The following is a 16,368-nucleotide window of genomic DNA, read 5'->3' as shown; positions in this document are numbered from 1 at the left end:
CAAAAGTTGTTTTGTGTTTTTTTTTTTTGAGACGGAGTCTTGCTCAGTCGCCCAGGCTGGAGTGCAGTGGTGCGACCATAGCTCACTGCAGGCTCCGCCTCCCAGGTTCACACTATTCTCCTGCCTCAGCCTCCGGAGTAGCTGGGATTACAGGCGCCTGCCACCATGCCCGGCTAACTTTTTGTATTTTTAGTAGAGATGGGGTTTCACCGTGTTAGCCAGGATGGTCTCGATCTCCTGACCTCGTGATCTGCCCGCCTCAGCCTCCCAAAGTGCTGGGATTACAGGAGAGCCCCCGCGCCCGGCCAAATTACTCAAAGTTAATAATTCTGTAGTTATTCACAGATACATGACGAAATGGACCTGGAGAAACATATCTGTGATAAGTGAAAACGGTTAAGATGACAGCAAAATTTGAGCAGGAGACATTGAATTCTGAGAAGTGAGCAAATGAAGCTGAGCACACAGCTGTGTTAGAACTATGACTACAAGCAGCGTTTAGTCTCCAAAATGTAATTTTATTTATTTATTTAATTTTGGAGACAGGATCTCACTGTGTTGCACAGGCTGGAGTGTAGTGGCACGATCATAGCTTGCTGCAGCCTCAAACTCTTGGGCTCAAGGGATCCTCCCACCTCAGCCTCCCAAAAAGTTGGGATTACAGATGTGAGCCACCATGCCAGGCCTCTTTTCATTCTTGAAAACACTCAATAATACCTGGAAGGAGAAGTAAAGAAAACATTTAGAAAGTGCTATCAGAATATTAAGGTGAACAGGGATGCTGTAGTATTATGCTTATTCATAGTTCTAAGAAATATTCAAGGAACACCTACTGTATTTCAGACACTATCTTAACTGCATGGGACATTTACAAAACAAGAGACAGACCCCAATAGCTTACGCTGTACTCAAGAAAGAGGAGGAAATATGAAAAAAATGCTAAATTATATGGAATGTTAGAATGTGGCAGGCATAATGGAGAAAAGAGAAGGTGAAGGCATTGAGAAGTGCTGGAAAGATATGTAATATTACATAGCCAAGAGAGGCCAATTTGTGGATGGGTCTTTATTGGAAAAGGACATGGAGAGCTCAATGCCAGTGAAATAAAAGTTTAATGTTACTCAGAATTTCCCTAGAAATGGGAAGTACAGTATGCCATGCAGGGCCACAGGAGGAACAGGTTTCAGTCTAAAGGAAGAAGCAAGAGCTAGGGGAAAGCCTAGGCCAGATCAGAGCAAACAGCTGAGTACTGGCTAGTCTGAATAATTCTGGTTGGCTTCGATTTACAGGGGTGGTCTCTAGTTGCCTCATACCCTCACCCTGGTGTTAGAGTAGGTAGATAAGAGTAGGGCAGGAGAGAGGGACCCCAGGAATGTCAGGCAATTTTGGAGTCAAGGACAGGCAATCATAAATCTTTTCCTCTGAGATAATAAACAAAACAAGAGAGGGACCCCCGAGATGTCCAGCTCTCATTGGGTGAAGGACAGGAAAGCATAAAACTATCCCTCTGAGATGATAAGTGGCCATGATTGGTACCAGGAGGGAAAAGAGTTTTCCAACAGATAGAAAACACCTGGAGCCAGTGAACCACAACCCCTGATAAGGTTTCGAGCATGCACAAAATGGGGCAAGATGGCAAAATTTGACTGGTATTTGACCTTCCTCTGGGGGTGCATGACTTGTTAAGGGAAGATCACCCCAAATGAGTATATGTATGACTTCAGTAAACAAACTGCATGCGGCCCCTCCCAAGTACTGGCAGACCACTGTGCATGCAGTAGTCAAGCAACAGCCTACCGAAGGAAGGAGAATAAAGAGCCTGGGAAATAAGCAAATGTATAAAGTCCCAAGCCAAGGATCAAGTGGGGCACTTGACCTCTCAAGTTATCCACTTGGCCCTTTTCCAAGTGTACTTTGATTCCTTTCACTCCTACTCTAAAACATTTTAATAAACTCTCACTCCTGCTAAAAAAAACTTGCCTTGGTCTCTTCCTGTGCCTTAAGCCAACCTCTGCCTCCTCGGTTGAATTTTCTTCTGAGGAGGCAAGGACCAAAATTGCTGCAGACTGCTGCAAAATCACTGGCAGTAACGCTGGGATGATTTAGTGCAGGGAAAGTATTGGCTTGGTGAGTAAGAGTTAGATAAAGAGGGTAGTTGGCTTGCCTTGCTCTCAAGGTAGTTGTTTACTATTTTTAGAAATTAGCTACCTCTGGTAGGGTAAGTCTCTCTGTCACCAGCAAGAATTTTAAGATGTCAAGACATATAATACAAAAAACAGAAACCATGATTAATACATATGCTTCCTTAATGAGAGGGTGGTTGAAAAAAAAGGTTGAGGAATGACAGCCCTGAACAGACCATTTCACAATTATAAACATAAAAATATTCACTTAATATGTGTGTTCTTGGAAATTATAAGATGTGCACAATGAATTTGGGGGCTACTGATTCAGGCAAGGTTTTAAGCTCAGAATTTTGTCCAAAACGGTCACCTTGTTACTTTTCTGGCCTTCAGGGAATATGGCCACTCAGCAGGTCCTGAGGAACAGCTGTTCCTCCCTGTTTCCTGAGGAACAGTGTTGGGGAACATGGGACATATGCTGGAAACAAGACACCCAATCCATGCTGTTTCAAAACACTGCAGGCTGTCAAGTTGTCCAGTTTCCAATAGAAGTGGGAGGCCCAGATTTTTAAATGGAATAACTTTTTATAGGTTCATTGAGGTGTAATCAACATGCAATGTACTGCACATATTAAAACAGTAAGTATACACACACACACACACACACACACACACACACACACATATGTACACTTTTGAAATCATCACCCTATCAATGGTGTTGGACATATCTGTCACCTCCAAAGTTAACCTCAGGCCCTTACCTAAGGGGAAGTTTTATAAATAAAAGCACAAAAAAATACACACTTTATGATGTCTAAAATAAAATTCCAGAAAATTCAAGTCAATCAATTGTAAAGGAATGTTAAAAGTTGCCTGCATATTCTGGAATGTATTATAAAAGAGCAAAAGTAAAATATGCAGGTGAGATATGCTCATTCTTATGATTACAACAATGCTTCCATGGGTTTACATTTATGTCAGAACTTATCAAGTTGTACACTTTAAATATATATAATTTATTCCACATCAATTATAACTTGATTTTTTTTTAATGGATGCAATAACAATCTTGGTCATTGACACTTCAAAAAGTCTGGTTTACTAAGTCTCTATTGACTCTACCATCTAGCTCCCCAGGCCACGTAGAGGCAGACCTGCTTCAGTGGCAGGAAATACAGGTGAGCAATGAAGGCCATTTCCATCAGCGTTAAGAGGATTGCTACTGGATCACAAAAGCCGCACCAAGGACAACCGAATCTCTCTTGACTTCATCCTTTTTTTTTTTTGTCTGTGCAGCAATGGCCTTGAAGTAAACAGGCCAGAGAGGCTACAGGAATCCACAAAACCCTTGTTGTCTCTAGTAATAACTTGAGCTACAAGACACACATTTCTAGAGATTTCTGCACACAGTGATCTTGCAGTCATAGTCACTGGAACATTTGTGGATACTTTTTTTTTGAGACAGAGTTTCGCTGTTGTTGCCCAGGCCGAAGTGCAATGGTGCGATCTCGGCTCACCTCCCAGGTTCAAGAGATTCTTCTGCCTGTCTCCTGAGTAGCTAGGATTACTGGTGCCTGCCACCACACCCAGCTTTTACTTTTACTTTTTACTTTTACAATTTTTGTACTTTTAGTAGAGACAGGGTTTCGCCATGTTGACCAGGCTGGTCTCGAACTCCTGACCTTGGGTTATCCACCCACCTCGGCCTCCTAAAGTGCTGGGATTACAGGCGTGAGCCACCACGCCCAGCCTTTTTTTTTTTGGAAACAGAGTCTCACTCCATCACCCGGGCTGGAGTGCAGTGGTGTGGTCTCAGCTCACTGCAACCTCCACTTCCGGGTTCAAGCTATTCTTGGTGCGTCAGCCTTCAGAGCAGCTGGGATTATAGACGTGCACCACTGCACCTGGTTAATTTTTGTATTTTCAGTAGAGATGGGGTTTCACCATGTTGGCCAGTCTGGTCTCTGACTCCTGACCTCAAGTGATCTGCACGCCATGGCCTCGGAAAGTGTAGGGATTACACGCATGAGCCACTGTGACTGGCCTGAATGGATCTTTTTTTTTTTTTTTTTGAGACGCAGTCTCGCTCTGTCACCCAGGCTGGAGTGCAGTGGTGTGATCTGAGCTCACTGCAACCTCTGCCTCCCAAGTTCAAGCAATTATCTGCCTCAGCCTTCCAGGGTTTCACCACCTTGGCCAGGCTGTTATTGAACTCCCGACCTTGTGATCCACCCACCTCAGCCTCCCAAAGTGCTAGGATTAAAGGTGTGAGCCACTGCGCCCGGCCGGATGAAACTTTATATGAGGAACAGTCCATCTAATTTGCTGCAGTCTCCTCCATTCCCTATTATTCAACCCAGCGTTTCTTTACCAATTATGTTTCGCTCCAGCCCCATGGTTTTATAGCTAGGGACACTAGCTCACTGAATTCTGTGTTTCAAGGGACACAGCTCCTTCACAGGACCTCATTAAGGGATTCTAAACATTGCAGGGCATTATGTGATATCCTCACTCAACAAGAAAAACTTTGTGTTGTCTCCAGAAACAATGGAAGTTGCCACAACTGCCCCCTCTGCAGAATGACCTCTGAGCCCACATGCAGGCAAAAATCAGAGCCAGAAAGCCCTGCAGTGTCTCCTAGAAGGCCTTGGAAACAATGCGAAATAGGCCAAAAATGGAGCAAAATCTATATTCTGTGAGCATACTGTCCCCTCTGAGGCAAACAAAATTTGAATCCCCACAAATGTTATATACCCTTTTAAGCTGACAGAGTCCTATTATGTTTCCAAACTACTCAACAATTAATACAACTTACAAGATTAAAGGTACTTAAACAAAAGGCCTTTATCATTGCACAAGCCAGTTAACAGGCAGTTCCTGGTAAGTGGTGGAAGCTAAAAAATGCTTCATCACAAGCATCGCCTGAGATCAACAATGTCCTCAAAAAAGGCAATCCTCTGGAAGCTGCCAGCAGAACTCAGATCAGGTCCTGGGGCCAACACTGGGGTAGTTATATGCACTATGTAGCCACAGGAGGAAATGAGAAACCCCCCTAAGAGCTTAGACTACTCGTGCTTTCCTCCAACTAATGGAAGAACTCTGCCTCCCTGAGCATGTTGGGGTGGTGACTGATGCACACTCTGTGGGTCTCCCAGCGGGTAGTGATGAAAAGGCTTCAGCCGCAGAAACTGGCAGTGACACGAATCTGGTAAGGTCCCTGGGCAGGTTTAGAGAGTACAACATAGCTACACATGCTTCCCACATACCTCAAATTTATGGGAAATCCATGGATGTTTGGATACATGAGTCACATCAGAGAAGGCTCTTCTCAAAGGCTAGCCTCCAGTGCCGTCATACCAAGTTAAAACAAACTAACAAGCAAAAACACATTCACAGCATATATAAGGCCTTTCTTCTTTGGGAAATCTTGTGTTAAATGTCACAACACAAGCCGGACATGGTGGCTCACGCCTGTAATCCCAGCACTTTGGTAGGCTGAAGCAGGTGGATTACCTGAGGTCAGGAGTTCAACACCAGCCTGACCAACATGGTGAAACCTTGTTTCTATTAAAAATACAAAAATTAGCTGGGCATGGTGGTGGGTGCCTGTAATCTCAGGTACTCAGGAGGCTGTGGCAGGAGAATCACTTGATCCCAGGAGGCGGAGGTTGCAGTGAGCTGAGATTGCACAATTGCACTCCAGCCTGGGTGACGAGCAAAATTCCATCTCAAAAAAAAAAAAAAAAGTGACAAAATAATTTCCCACATTCACTGCACATGAACTCTTCTGTGTCTTAAGAGGCCAGAGCTTTGGCTAAAGGATTTTCCACATTCACTGCATTCATAAGGCCTTTCTCCAGTGTGAACTGTCTTGTGTTGAATGAGGTGATTTTTGCGGGTAAAAGATTTCCCACATTCTCTGCACTCATAAGGCCTTTCTCCAGTGTGAACTCTCCTATGCTGAAGGAGGGCAGAGCTTTGGCTATAGGATTTCCCACATTCATCGCACTCATAAGGCCTTTCATTAGTGTGAACAGTCTGGTGTCGAATGAGGTGGGTTTTTCGGATAAAAGATTTCCCACATACACTGCACTCATAAGGCCTTTCTCCAGTGTGAACTGTCTGGTGTCGAATGAGGTCAGTTTTGCAACTAAATGATTTTTCACATTCACTGCACTCATAAGGCTTTGTTTTAGTGTGAGCTCTTCTGTGTCGAAAGAGGCCAGAGCTTTGGCTAAAAACTTTCCCACATTCACTGCACTCATAAGGCCTTTCTCCAGTGTGAACTCTTTGGTGTTGAATGAGGACAGATTTCTGGCCAAATGATTTCCCACATTCACTGCACACATAAGGTCTTTCTCCAGTGTGAAATCTTTGGTGGTGAATAAGGTAGATATTGCAACTAAATGCTTTCCCACATTCACTACACTCATAAGGCCTTACTCCAGTGTGAACTCTCCAGTGTCGAAAGAGGTTAGTGCTATGGCTAAAGGATTTTCCACATTCACTGCACTCATAAGGCCTTGTGCTAGTGTGGGCACTCCTGTGACGATAGAGGTTAGTGCTGTGGCTAAAAGATTTCCCACATTCACTGCACTCATAAGGCCTTTCTCCAGTGTGAACTCGTTGATGTTGAATGAGGACAGATACCTGGCGAAAGGATTTGCCACATTCACTGCAGTCATAAGGCCTTTCTCCAGTGTGAACTCTTTGGTGTTGAGTTAGGTGAGTTTTGCGACTAAATGATTTCCCACATTCACTACATTCATGAGTCCTTGTTCTACCGTGTGCTTTCCTGTGTCGAAGAAAGCCAGAACTTTGACTAAAGGATTTCCCACATTCACTGCACTTGTAAGGCCTTTCTCCAGAGTCAGCTCTTTGGTGTTGAATGAATACAGATTTCTCTCTAAAAGATTTCCTGGATTCAGTGTATTTGAGAGGCTTTCGTCCAGTGGGAACTCTCAAGTGTCTAATCCTGCTGTGTGGTCTCTCAATGGTGGGAGTCACCTGATGCTGGAGAAGTCCTGAGGTGGCTGAAAAGTCCCTCCCGACTTCCCCAAACGTGAAGGGTTTTCCTGACACATGGAACCTGCAGTTCATCATAAATGAGGCCTGGTCCCCATCCACTTTAAAGAGCTTCTCTCCATTATCAAGCTTCTGGAGCTGGTGAAGGTTTGAACTCATCCAGAAATCTCTTGATGCTCCACCCAAGTACAATTTCTGTCCACAGGGTGAGGCATGGAGCTCAATCATTTGTAAAATGTCTCTCAGGACTGGGGTACAAATCTCACAGGGGTGACTCTTATCAGTGGATGTATCTGCCTTTGGAGTCCTGCCCTGTGACAGTTCTTCCACAGAAACGCTCTCTGCAGAAGGCGTCCCCTCATCTACTGCTCCACACCAGCAACCTGAAAGAAGAGAAATGCTGAGAAAACACAGATTTACTATGGTGTGAGAAGTTACATCAAAAATGTGTGTCAAAGAATGAGTCTAAGAAAATGTTTTTAGGATATGAGAGCTGGTGGAAATTTGTGGAAAAAAGCCTCTACAAGTCACAGAACAAGGGAGGCCTTATGAGATGAAAGACACAAAGATGGGGCACAACTCAGAGAGAACAGGTAGGGTCTCTGACTCACTATTCTGCCAAAAGCTTTTATCAGGACTTCCTCCCCTGATGAGAAGAGAGGACTTCGGTACACTGCACAGAAGATTATTGGTGTCCAGGCCCAGTAGACACCCATGGGAACTGAATACTAGGTGTGGAAGGACTATTTAAAAACATGTGCACATCTGACAACATATTACATGTGGGTCAGTGTTAGAGAACACTCTAGAAGTTGCACTGGAAAGGAACAGGTGACACATGGAGGCCAGAAATTGGTAGCAGCTAAGGGCTGGAAGTCATGGATGAAATAAAAATCAGAACATGTGTAGAAAAGAAAAAAAAGAGAGAAATGATATATGTCCTATGGAATCAGCACCCAATCACTGAGAACTCAGGACAGGTTTATGGTGTGATTAGAAACAGCCCTAGTGTCTTGCCCTCCCTTAGTTGTCACTCATTAGGGCCAGGCCTCCTCTGAGACTATCTTGCTGTTTGCACCCTGTAAAGCAACCAGAGCCATCCTCGAATCCCAGTTGTGCAACTATACCAGACCTATAAGATGTATGCCCTAAAGGGAAGACCAGAGAGGTGCACAGCCAGCACTGGCACAGAGCAACTCAGCACATGACAAACTACAGCAGTGAAAAATAATGTTACAAGAAAATCTTTCAGGTGGATCTTTATGAAAAGCCTATGGACCAGTTAAGTAGTTAACATGATGATACCTGCAATTCCTGAAACAGGCAGCTTGAGATTTTAGTTAGAAGCAAAAGGCAGAACATGGAACAAAGAGCATCCTAGAACTGGAGAAAGCCATCCTGTCATGGAGAAGGCAAGGACAAATCCTTTAGGTTGAAAGAAAGATCCTGTCTCCCAGACCCTTCACTGCATACCTAGAGGAAACAGGTGTTAGGACAGTCTGAGAGTGCCTTGCTTGGCGATGTCCCTCAGAATACATATGCCAAGAAAGTGGGAAGGTCTGTAGAGCTCAGGGTCTAACTGAAGAAAGGACAGAGCTGCCTCAGGGACAGGGGAAAAGGAGAGACCCACAAAGGAAACTGGGAGGAATAGGAGGGCCTTACCTAGGGATGCCATAACTGCAAAGTTCTCCAGCATCACATCGCGGTACAGGAGCCTCTGCATCTCATCAAGGAGCTCCCACTCCTCCTGGGAGAAGTAAATGGCCACATCCTCAAAGGCTACAAAAACCTGCTATGATGGGGACAGTTCATTCCATGGTCAGCATCTTTCCTAGGACCCCAAGTTGATTCCCCCAAACATCCATCCCTGGCTCACCCTCCTCCCCATCTCCCCACCTCAGCGAATACAACAGGCCCTGATGCCACTGATGCCTACTCTCTCATGGTCTCATTGGTCACTGTGTTCTCCCACAGCAACAACAGGCAGGTGGACAGATAGAAACCACATTCTTGTGTCTATAAATTCTCCTGGAATCCCTCAGACCATGGCTCCCAAACACAACTGAAGGTCTGGGTTCACATTTCACCCTCATGTCCTCAATGTCCAGACTCATGAAACAAAAGCTCACACTCCGTCTTCATATGTGCATCACTCTTTCCACCACACCTCTCTTACCCAACTCACTCCCTCAGCCACCTCCACCCCGATCCCACAACACAGGCATCTCTCCTGCCTTCCTATATGTTACTCAGCACAAGACATCTAGAAAGTGCTTGCAAATTCAAACAAGTTCCAGGACTACCCAGACCTATGATGGTCCCTACTGCCACAGGCAGCCCCATATCCTGCTCTGAAGCCCTTCCTACCTGAGTCTACTCCTTTCATCAACCTCAGCCACCCAGAACCACATACATATCTCAGATACACATGGCCCTTTCCAACTTGTACTGCACTAAACAGTAACTGCACTAAACAGTAACAGTAACAGTAACTGTCTTGCTACCCTTCATTCAAAACCTTGCCTGGTGGCCCTCCACCCAAGGTTAAGTGATGCTCCCAGATGACTACTTCTGCCCCTAAACTGATCCACCAGCCTGCATGAAACTCCCTAGGCATAGGAGCCAGTCATAAGATCCTGGTGAGGCTATATAGCAGTAAAGCATTAGGTCTGGCTTCAGCCTCATCTTGTCTGAAATCCCATTATGTCTCTAATATGGTTTGGCTGTGTCTCCACCCAAATCTCATCTTGAATTGTAACTCCCACAATTCCCATGTGTCATGGGAGGGATCCAGTAGGAGGTACCTGAATCATGGGGGTGGGTCTTTCTTGTGCTGTTCTCGCAATAGTGAATAAGTCTCACGAGAACTGATGGTTTTAAGGCTGGTTGCAGTGGCTCACGCCTCTAATCCCAGCACTTTGGGAGGCCAAGGCGGGTGGATCACTTGATCAGGAGCTTGAGACCAGCCTGGCCAATGTGGTGAAACCCCGTCTCTACTAAAAATACGAAAATTAGCTGGGTGTGGTGGTGGATGCCTGTAATCCCAGCTACTTGGGAGGCTGAGACAGGAGAATCCCTTGAGTCTGGGAGGTGGAGGCTGTAGGGAGCTGAGATCTCACCACTGCCCTCCAGCCTGGGGAACAGAGCAAGACTCCATCTCAAAAAAAGAAGAACTGATGGTTTTAAAAAGAGGAGTTCCCCTGCACAAACTCTCTTTTTGCCTGCTGCCATCCATGTAAGATGTGACTTGCTCTTCCTTGCCTTCCACCATGATTGTGAGGCCTCCCCAGCCATGTGGAACTGCAAGTCCATTAACCCTCTTTTTCTTCCCAGTCTCAGGTATGTCTTTATCAGCAGCACGAAAATGGACTAATGCAGCCTCCACATCCATCTTATATTCACTCATCCTTCATAACCCTTGGCCACCTGCCTGGTATCCTCTCTCTGTATTATTCCTAGGGCTGCTTCCCTCTATAACCTGTATTTGTGATTTCCACAACATCCATCCAGATACCCAAGTATGGTACCCTCTTGTGGCTCCCACCCTTCCCCTTCCTGGCCTGCTATTAATATTATCATCATGACCAGGAATCCCACTACTAAATGGGATCTATGATGTTATGGGCTTAATGTTTCTGCCCCACGCCCACCCACAAAATGCTTACATTGAAGCACTAACACAATGAAGCCTAATATAATGTGATAGTATTTGGAGATGGAATCTTTGGGTGGTAATTAGATTTAGATAAGGTCAAAAGAGTGGGGCCCTCATGATGGAATTAATGCTTTTGTAAGAATAGAAAGAAAGAGATTCCTTGCTTTCTTTACATACTCCCTCCCAGGAAAGGCCATGTGAGGAAAAAGCAAGAGGGCAGCCACTGCAAGTCAAGAAGCAGCCCATCACAAATAAGTGAATCTAGAGGCACCCTGATGTAGAATTTCCTAGCCTGCAGAACTGTGAGAAACAAATTTTTGTTGTTTAAGCCACCAATATAGGTTATTTCATTATCAACCCAAGGTAAGACACTGATATAGCCTGGATATTTGTCCCCTTCAAATCTCACCTGGAAATGTGATCCCCAATGTTGGAAGTGGGGCCTAGTGGGAGGTTATCTGGGTCATGGAGGTGGATCCCTCATGAATGGCATAGTATCCTTCCAACAGTAATAAGTTCACATGAGACCTGGTTGCTAAAAAGAGACTGGTGCCTCCCTCCTGCCTTGCTGGCTCCCTTTTTGCCTTCTGCAATGATTGGAAGCTTCCTGAGGCCCTCACCAGAAGTGGAGACTAGCGCTAAGCTTCCTGTACAGCCTGCAGAACTATAAGCTGTAATAAACCTTGTTTCTTTATAAACTACCCAGCCTTAGGTATTTCTTTATAGTAATGCAAATGGCCTAACAGACATAGGGCTCCATCCTAGTTCAATAATATCCTCCACTCTTTGTAGAAGTCTCTATCCTGCACCCTTCCTCAGAGTCCAAGACCTGTGTGTCCACCTAGCCACTTGATATAGCTACTTACTTATTCTCTAAAACATCTCATATTTTTAACATGGACAAAACACATTCCTGATGTCCTGAGTGAAAAACAATTCTACTATCTACTTGGCTCTCCCAGTAGATGGAGCTTCTATGCTTCCAGCTACTAAACTCAAAAAGCCTTGAGTCACCCCTTCTTATCTCTCAGTCCCAATACCAGAAAATCAGAGCCGACCTACAATCCAAAATTCAACCATTTCTGCCACACTGTGGCCACTACTCTGGCCCACATCATCTACACTCACCTGGACTATTGCAGTAGTCTCCTCTTTCCTCTTTGGTATTGCTACCAACTCCCTTAAACCCACAGTCTGTTGTCTGTGCTCAGCCACAGGAGCCTCATGAGGCCTGGGGAAGATCACCTCCCTCTTCTGCTCCAAATCTTCATTGCTGCCATCATCTCCAGAACAAAGACATCTGAGACAGCCATTTAGTTTCTAACTCCTGTACCTCTGCTCTCTGTTCCCATGAGAAGGAAATGAGACTTGAGGTTCTCTTAACCAGCTCAGCCTCACCTCCAAGCAGCTCCAAACACCTGTACTTATCTCTGGGACAAACTTCCACATTCATCCTATTATTTGCCAGCAACAGGCACCACCTCATATAATACTCACCCTGGACATATTTTTGTTCAGAGTCCCTAGGCTCAAGGCCTGGAAAAGCGGTAAGTAAAGAATCCCAGGTCACCACAGTCCCAATCCTAGAGATCCCATTGCTGGAATCAATGAGCTTCTGGATTTCCTCCACTTACCCTTGTAGGGTCTTCAAGTGCTTCTTACGGACCTGTAAGTACTAGTGGCAATCTGTGGGAGGAAACATGTTCTGAGAGGCAGGTGACCAAAGTGTGGCTCCATGGACTTCTGGTTCCAATGTGGAACACCAGAGCCAGGTGTCCAGGGATGACTGCTTTGTATCTGGGTGTCAGTCCTTGGTGCTGACTTTTACCAGCTTTGTGACCTCGTAAAAAGACTAGGTCCCTCCATGCCTGCTATCATCACTGCCCTTCCAGCGCGTTCCTCTGAACAGCTTTTGTGAAACTTTTAGAAGCGTGACTGGGGCCGTGCCCCTCTTCTGTCCTACGCGCTGTGGCCCTCAGTGTGCTGGTGAAACTCAGTGGGGCCAATGCAGCGCGGCGCTGCCCCACCCTCTGCTACCTGCACGCGTGAGGCCGGCCTGGGTCTCCCCAGCCTCCCGGCTCAGGCGCAGCTCCAAGCTGTTGCCCGCGCAGCCCCCTGACCGTGTCGCTCTCCCGCTCCCTGCCACACTACCAGAAACGAGATCCAGCACCAGCGCCTCACTGTGCCGGACAGTGCGGTCCGGGCTGCAGAAAACCCTTCACGCGTCCCTCAGTTTCGGGTGGGGAGGGCAGAGGAGGCCGGGAGGACGCAGCGCTCACCTGGGTCGGGGCCCTCAGTGCCGCCGCCATCGGACTCTGGGCGGAGCGGGCCGGGAGCGGTGGACGATCCGGGCGGAGACAAGAGCAAAGCTGTCACCACCGCCGGCGACCGTCAGGCCCCGGCTGTGCAGCTGAGAAAACGACTCTCCTCGCGCCTTCTCGCTGTCAGCACCTAGGTCCAGATCCGGCACCCGCGGATGGAACTGACACAAGCCAAAGTGCCCGCCACAGGGAGGACGCCGGAAGTTCCGCTCCGACAAGTTGGACAGAGCGGAAATGTCCCTCCCCTGAGCCTCATTGGCTCCACGCCAAGAACCTGGCTCACGGGCCTCTGGGTAATGTAGTTCTCACCGCTTCTTGGGCTGGCAGAGGTCGCCCTTCTCCTGGACCTCAGGGAGGAATGACCCCGTTGCTATGGAGAAAGGTGGAGGGGAAGGCTGAGAGGTGGTGTCTCCAGCCTCCTTGGACAAGGGAGGAGCTTCGCTGCTTTTTTAAGGTACCATACAGAGATTTTTGGAGGGTATTGTGTACAACTAGTCACCTAGGTAGTCAGAGTTATTCAGATACAAAATGCCTCTACCCTTGGCGAGAGCCTAGTAAACATTACCTTCTTTCTCCACACATTTATGTAAAGTAGAACGTTAGAGTCAGCTTTGTGAGTTTCATTATGCTCAGTAAGGAATAAGGGAAATAGAGTTTACATAGCGCCATGACAGGAATGATAAAACATCCGTTAGATCGCACCGAAGCTGGAGGACGAAAGAGGAATTTTGTCTCACAGAAAATGCCTCTCCTGCCTGTGTAATCGGTGAGTGTGTCTAGCCCTGTAAGGAACAGTGTTGTATTCATATAATATTTCTTCCTCCATATTCTTAGATATGCTTCTTTTAGGATTGTAGCAACTTTCTAAACAGAAGAGCCACTTAGCATATGCCATTTTAAAGTAGAACAGTGTCTGTAGTGTTCACAGTCAGAGCACTTGTGCAAAGGGGACATCAGAATACCAGAATAAAGGTTTGGGACACCTAGCTTTCATCTCTTTGATGGGAAATTTTGATCATTGATACTGTTACTGCAGGGACAGTGCTTGCATGGGGAGTTGAGATCATCTTAGAAAAACAGTTGTGAAATGAAAATTACTGAAACCTATTGTATTAGTCAGGATTCTCCAGAGAAACACAGAACCAATAGGATACATAGATGTACAAGAGGGGATTTATTATGGGACTTGGCTCATCCAGTTATGGAGGCTAAGAAGTCCCAGGATATACCTTTTGCAACCTGGTAAGACACGAAGGTGGGTGGTATCATTCAGTCTGCATCTGAAGGCCTGAAAACCAAGGGAGCCTATGGTGAAATTCCCAGTTGGAGGCTGAAGGCCTGAGAACTGGGTGAGGGTCATTCTTGTATGTTCCAGAGTCCAAAGGCCCAAGATCCAAGAACTTTAATGTTGGAAAACAGAAGGTGGATGATCCAGGGCAAGAAGAGAGTAACTTGCTCTTTCTCTGCCTTTTTGTTCTATCTTGGCTCTCAAAGCATTGGATGTTGGCCCCTAACACTGATGAGGCCAGATCTCCTTTACATTGTCTACAGACTCAACTGCTAATATCTTCCATAAACATTCTCACAGACATATCCTGTACTAAGGTTTTCCCAACTATTTGGGTAGCCCTTAATGCAGGCAAGTCGACACAAAACATTATACGTCACAACTATTAATAATCTTGTGGCTAGGCCAAGCGCGGTGGCTCATGCCTGTAATCCCAGCACTTTAGGAGGCCAAGGCAGGTGGCTCATGAGGTCAAGAGATCAAGACCAGCCTGGCCAACATGGTGAAGCCCTGTCTCTACTAAAAATACAAAAATTAGCTGGGTGTGGTGGCGTGCGCCTGTAGTCCCAGCTACTTGGGAGGCTGAGGCAGGAGAAGCGCTTGAACCCAGGAGGTGGAGGTTGCAGTGAGCCGAGATCACACCACTGCACTCCTGCCTGGTGACAGAGTGAGACTCCATCTCAGTAGAGAGAAAAAAAAAAAGAATATTGAACATAATTAATTGAACTGAACATAGACTTACTTTGCTTTTTTTAGTGCAGTCATATATAAGTCTATAAGTACATTTGGCTTGGCTCTGGAAATGTTTACCCTGAAGACACATAGAGCAGATAGCTCTTCAGTTGCTGAATTTAAGTCCTGTCTGAAAAGGAAAGGGAGAAGGTGTGGCTCCAGCATGATTTCATATAGAAAGGTAAGTGGGGAGCCCTTCTGAGTGACTCCACAAAGGACTCATTTTGCCTGCATATTTGAGTGTCTAATGGTAATTTTTTTTTTTTGAGGAAGAGTCTTGCTCTGTTGCCCAGGCTGGAGTGCAGTGGCAGGATCATAGATTACTGCAGCCTCAAACTCTTCGGCTTCAGCGACATTTCTGTGTCAGCTTCCTGAGTATATGGGATTGCAGGCACTCACTACTGTGCCCAGCTAATTTTTAAAATATATATATATTTTTTTTTTACAGACAGGGTTCTTGCTATGTTGCCCAGGCTGGTTTAAAACTCCTGGTCTCAAGTGATCCTTCCGCCTCAGCCTCCCAAGTAGCTGGGGCTACAGGTACACACAGCTCTTATGGCAATTTCTTAGGCCAATAGTCAAAGTAGGGAAATAGTGAGCTTGGAAAGTGCCAGAAAATCTGTGTATCTACTTGTTTTTGTTGTTTAAGTAGATAAATTAACTAGGCTGCTCATGGAAATAACTGGCTTGCCAAATTCAATTTGTTAAAATTAATCTCCCTTGAGTTATACAAATACACAGCACAAACATTGCAAAATACATATTTTAAACTAATTTGCAAATTAGTTAATTTTAATTTTTTTAGAGACAGGGTCTCACTCTGTCATCCAGGCTGGAGTGCAGTGGCACAATCAGAGCTCACTGTAGCTTTGAATTCCTGGGCTCAAGCAATACTCCCACCTCAGCCTCCAGAATAGCTGGTAACAGACATGCACCTGCACCACCATGCCCTGATAATTTTTTGATTTTTTGTAGGCACGGGGTCTCGCCATGTTGCTCAGGCTGGTAAAGTTTTAATAGATTATTTTTTAGAGCAGTTTTGGTTCATAGGAAAATTGAGCAAAAAATTATAGAGCTTCCACATATCCCTTGTCCCATGCATGTACAGCCACTCCACTATAAATATTCCCCACTAGAATAGTATATTTGTTACAATTGATGGTACGCTGGCATATCATTATCATCCCAAATCCATAGTTTACATTAGGATTTACTCTAGCT

General features: G+C 45.7%; 1 protein-coding gene across 7 annotated transcripts, besides 2 other annotated features; it reads right to left on the bottom strand.

Annotated features, from left to right (window-relative positions):
• Positions 1–497: 497 nt before the first annotated feature.
• On the bottom strand, positions 498–13,335 carry ZNF530 (zinc finger protein 530). Of its 7 annotated transcripts, none has more exons than NR_135924.2 (4): positions 13,086–13,335; positions 12,441–12,492; positions 8,814–8,943; positions 498–717 (listed from the first exon to the last, which is right to left on the bottom strand). NR_135924.2 is itself a non-coding variant. In NM_001387563.1 (4 exons), the coding sequence occupies exons 1-4, from the start codon at positions 13,113–13,115 to the stop codon at positions 637–639; spliced, it is 999 nt and encodes a 332-aa protein (NP_001374492.1). In that variant the 5' UTR covers positions 13,116–13,335; the 3' UTR covers positions 498–636. The 7 variants fall into 7 exon arrangements, 5 of the variants coding, with proteins under 5 accessions (NP_001374492.1, NP_001308910.1, NP_001374490.1 ...); NR_135923.2 differs by lacking the exon at positions 12,441–12,492 and adding an exon at positions 5,393–7,534; NM_001387563.1 differs by lacking the exon at positions 12,441–12,492 and adding an exon at positions 6,777–7,534.
• Positions 12,868–12,987: an enhancer, noted in NCBI's record as "active region_15149". NCBI's record gives its function as "activates an Ori minimal core promoter by ATAC-STARR-seq in GM12878 lymphoblastoid cells {active_cell/tissue: GM12878}" and the evidence as "EXISTENCE:reporter gene assay evidence [ECO:0000049][PMID:35858748]".
• Positions 13,078–13,287: an enhancer, noted in NCBI's record as "active region_15148". NCBI's record gives its function as "activates an Ori minimal core promoter by ATAC-STARR-seq in GM12878 lymphoblastoid cells {active_cell/tissue: GM12878}" and the evidence as "EXISTENCE:reporter gene assay evidence [ECO:0000049][PMID:35858748]".

Source organism: Homo sapiens, chromosome 19 (assembly GCF_000001405.40).
Source record: "Homo sapiens chromosome 19, GRCh38.p14 Primary Assembly".
In the NCBI taxonomy this organism is placed as follows: Eukaryota; Metazoa; Chordata; class Mammalia; order Primates; family Hominidae; genus Homo; species Homo sapiens.
Note: the sequence above shows the minus strand (reverse complement) of the source record. Positions and strands in the feature narration are given on the sequence as shown.

Coding starts and splice junctions, on each gene's coding strand:
- ZNF530 (NM_020880.5), bottom strand. CDS start 13,115: ATGGCGGCGGCACTGAGGGCCCCGACCCAG. Junction 8,944..13,085: donor CACTGAGGGCCCCGACCCAG/GTGAGCGCTGCG, acceptor TCCCCATCATAG/CAGGTTTTTGTAGCCTTTGA. Junction 7,535..8,813: donor TGCAGTTATGGCATCCCTAG/GTAAGGCCCTCC, acceptor CTCTTCTTTCAG/GTTGCTGGTGTGGAGCAGTA.